Source organism: Homo sapiens, chromosome 7, assembly GCF_000001405.40.
Source record: "Homo sapiens chromosome 7, GRCh38.p14 Primary Assembly".
Taxonomy (NCBI): Eukaryota; Metazoa; Chordata; class Mammalia; order Primates; family Hominidae; genus Homo; species Homo sapiens.
In genome coordinates this window covers 119541790-119546402 of record NC_000007.14, presented here as the reverse complement: position 1 = coordinate 119546402, position 4613 = coordinate 119541790, and the positions used below count along the sequence as shown (strand labels likewise).

The 4613-nt window shown below is 33.0% G+C and overlaps 1 annotated feature.

Moving 5' to 3' along the window:
• Positions 510–1709: an enhancer, noted in NCBI's record as "CDK7 strongly-dependent group 2 enhancer chr7:119184748-119185947 (GRCh37/hg19 assembly coordinates)". NCBI's record gives its function as "activates an origin of replication core promoter dependent on BRD2, BRD4, P300/CBP, MED14 and CDK7 cofactors, with strong dependence on CDK7, by STARR-seq in HCT116 cells {active_cell/tissue: HCT116}" and the evidence as "EXISTENCE:reporter gene assay evidence [ECO:0000049][PMID:35650434]".

Genomic DNA, 4613 nt, shown 5'->3' with positions numbered 1-4613 from the left:
GGAACATGCTGCAGCAGAAATTAAGAAGTCAGAAGCAAACTAGATTGACCTTGTTGAGATAACTGAGGTGTGCTTACTTTCTAAAACAAACATGCAATATCTAATTATCTTATTTAGTGTATTCTAAGAAAAAGCCCATGAAATAAGGGTGACCAAGCAATGCCAGCCGTGTCTAGGGAGGCCAAGAAATAGATCAGGAATCTTCTGACTGTAGCTTAACATATATTATTATACCTGATATAATAATAGTGATATTCCTAATCAACTTCCTCATGAGTGATAAGTAAATAAACTATCATTTTATATTCTGCAAACATAACTGCTAGGTCCAATGCAATTGCAGAAAATATTTGGAATAGTTATAACTTAATAAGAAAAGGGCAAGATAGTGCCCCATCCCATGAAGAACTGAGTCCAAAGATTTTAGATAGAACAAGCTGAAGCCTTCACCAGAAATTAATTTAAAATTTTTATAATGCAGAGACAATATAAGTGACCAGTGTTTTTCTATTTTATGACAGATTTGTACAGAAGTTTCCCATTGGGTTCCATGGGAAATAGACTGAGACAGAGATTGTCAGGCATTATGTTTATGTAAGTGTATTCTCAGTGACATTACCTATGTGGAAGTAAGTGAAACAGAACTGGCTAGAAGGAGACATTGAATTGTGCTACTTTCACAATAGAAGCCTCAGCTTATCTCCTGGAGAGCGATGGAGTTGGGATGGCCCTTCAGAGTCGTCCCAAATGGAGGAAATGTGGGAGGGCCTTCATACTTTCATGTAGCATCAACCAGGCATTGTATAAGTGCTGCAACCAGAAAGGAGGCAAAACAATGAGTGAGAAAATTTCCTTTCACCAAGGTCAAGGCAGTACAGTTCTTGCAGGTAACTCAGCTTTGGGCTTCAGTGAAAACATTTATACCAGCTAAGGAAATGAATGACTTGGCCCTGTAGAAGGTTGTCTAGGAAGTACACCCACAGTATTCATTACAAGAGATATGAGTTGTAAGCTCAATGGTTTCAAAGCAAACATTACCAATTACTCATTGCAGTCATTTAAACAAAAGTGTTATTGACACCAGTGAATCATCACATTTTAAACAATACATCTTCCTGATAAGGCCTCAGATATACACTAGTTATGGTTGTGATTGTAAGCAGCTGAATTCTTTGGCATGCTATATAGAATATCTGGAGTTGAGTCCATTGGTTTTTCAAGACATACCAGAAGTTAATGGTTTTGGTTTCAGTGGAATTTATATTGTCAATCTTTCTGGCAACAAGTAATTGTAGTGTTGGTTATTTGGTTTGGCTATCTCTGGTATTTAAGTATAAAACTATTGCATCAGCAGTGAGAACAAATTGCTTACATTTCTAGTCTCAATAGCTTTGATACATGCATTTAGTTTGTCTCATATCAAATTATCTAATGATTTGGTTCAAATAGCATGATTAAAAACAATCTATAAGATTAAGGATAAAAGCACATTTATGTTATATGTTATTCAGTGTATTACATTTTCTATATTCAGTTCAAACCAACACTGACCAACAATGTAGTAAAAAAAAACAGCTTTTATTAATATTTCTATCTGGACATCAGCAATGAATTTATGTAATACAACACTGAATATTCATATAATTCATAACCACTTCTGATTCACAAAGTAAAGTTTAATGCCATTCCTAAATGATGCCTCTACCAGGCTGAGAGAATAATAATGATTAGTTGTGGAATAGCCAGAGCTGAAACCCACCTGAGTTTCACGATGAATATTTATCTGAGAAACATGTAGTTATAATTTGTAATGGTAGAATATGATGGAAGAGAGAATGGTAGGTTTATAATTTTATTGACTGCCTTTTAAAAATCTGGGATTATAAAGAGTTATTCATCCAGGCAATCGATTTATAGATTATAATGTAAGGTGAATATTAAAGTATTTTGGTTCTAGAAAATCCTTAATTGGTCATTTTGAAGAATTACATATGAAAAATGACTTCAAACATCCAATCAGAAGAGTGTCTGGAAACTAAATTTTAGGGTAGTTGTTCTCATGGTAAAAAATATAAGAAAGGTAGAAGCTGCAGATATTAACTGTGATCTGGGATTCTACAGTGTTATTAGACCCATATCACAATTCAGAATTCTCCCTTGTTCCCAGATATGTTATCTGAAATGAGTTTGGGCCATGATGATTGATTTTCATTTACATTTTGGAGGGGATAAAATGATTAAAGTAGAATTTAAACTTAACCTAACAAAGTTTCTAAAAATTCTTTAGGACATGTTACCTCACCAAGATGGAGAATAATTTATTGTAGTTCATATTTTGTTTTATTCTTCTGTTCACAACTGTTTTTATCAAGCTATGAGCAGAAAAAGCTAGTCTTAGGTTTTTTTTTATTACAAAACTATTTCATTTTATCTACTGATGAAGCACTGTAAAGAGAAACTTTTTTTTTTCTTGAGAAAACTCAATACAGTTTCAATAGCTCTTAAATAGGATTCAAGTGGGACCATGCCTGGGATTTTTCTGTTAATAAGTTGATAGTAATAAAGAAGCTATTTAACCAGCTGCACAGACTAGGCCTCATATGGTTTTTAAATCTTATTAAAGCAGTCTAAGCTCTGTACTGGTCTTCAGCTTTGTAAAATTCAGAATAACAACTTTATCCATTTATTCAAAGACATTAGCTAATGCTTAAATTAACTAATTTATAAATTAGAAAATCAGTGTATTAGTTTATAATTTATATGTATACAGAAAAATAAATGTTATTTCTGATTTTTCTAAGTAGATTGGTTTATGAATAAATCTAAATTGCAAGACCTACAGGCATATTTCTTTTACAAAAAATGAGAGAGATGGTTATTACAATTTTTTGTTACAGGGTCTTATTCTGTTGCCCAGGCTGGAGTGCAGTGGTGGGATCATGGCTCACTGCAGCCTTGATATCCCCAGGCTCCAGTGATCTTCCTACCTCAGCTCCTCGAGTTGTTGGGACTATGGGTGTGTGCTGCCATGCCTAGCTAATTTTTGTATGTTTAGTAGAGATGGGTTTTTCCATGTGTTCTGGATTGCTTTCAAACTCCTGGGCTCAAAGGCTCTGTCTGCCTTGGCCTCCCAAAGTGCTAAGATTACAGGCATGAGCCATGACACCTAGCCTACTGGGCATATTTTTTATATTATTTCATCATCACCGTGTGCCAGATTACAGCCATGTTGCAAATCAACAATTTTTATTTATTTTTAAAACATTAAATACTGATATCTTTGGCAGCAGTTTGGAAAATACTTACAGTCCTTTGAGGAGCTGTGGTGATACCCTGCTCTTGTGTCCCCATCCATGGGCTTCTTCTACAGACATCTAATGTCATTCTATTTGTACTCAATCTTATTGAATTCAGCTTCACCAGGCAACATTTAGAAATAAATTAAATTTTGGAATTGTGTTGTATTTGGAACACAGTTCATTGTATAAATTAATACCCTACAATACCTCTACTGTACCAATATTTCATTGGTCTCATTAGGAAGCACCCAGAATATTTGTTACAAGTTTCATTTTATAGCATAAATTAAAAAAAACAGAGTGCTTTATCGCTTGTTTTTTTATTCCCTATGTTAATTTCCAAAAAAAATGCTCCTTCATTCTTTTAACCACACAGTACAATATGTCAACTAACTTCATATTCAAAGGAATTTTTCCTTATCTCCAAAAACATGTGGAAGAGAATAATGAACCACCATAAAAACAAGATAATTTTAATCAGAAAGTAATCCCCCTAATTCTAACTATTCTAAGTCACAGATATGTTTATTTAGATAATAAAAGTGACACTGAACTTTAAAAAAGTTAATTAAATAAATCATAAAGCTTATTGATCTCATATCACCCCCTTCAAATACCTATAAACATGAGGTGATAGCAGTAAATCTTTCCTGTATAACATTACAAACTTTGTATATAATAGACAGTGTCTATGACTCTAGTTTTTATAGTAAATACAGAATGATCACTCTCTATATGTCACATAAGATTTTTCCATTTAAACATGTATCTTTCATATTCTTTCAGATTAATATATATAAATCTACTTTACTTTTAAATAGTTATTTAGTGTTCTGTTGTATGGAAATAATATAACTATTTCTCTATGAATAAGCTCTTTCCCTATTTTTTACATTTTATAAATTATGCTGTAATGAAAACCATATTCATATATCTTAGTGCATTGTGCAAATTTATCTTTACAATGCATTTTTGCAAGATAAATTGTTGGAACTGTGAATATGAATGCAACCTGGAAAAGTTGGTTATTTGTCAGATCACCCTCCAAACAAGTTATTATTGCCTGCATTCCAACCACAGGCCTGTTCCCTCATACCTTCTTTATGATTTATTATTTTAAAGCTTATTTTTACCAATTTACTGGTAAAAAGTGGGGCAAAATGGATTTTGATGTATCACTAATGGATAAACCAATAGTACACGGAGCCAATACATCTTCCTCTCTCCCTTACTTCCTTTCTTTCTTCCTCACTTTTCTCCTTCCCTTTTTTTCACCATCAACTTTTAAAACTTACAGTTCGGCATATTACTTAA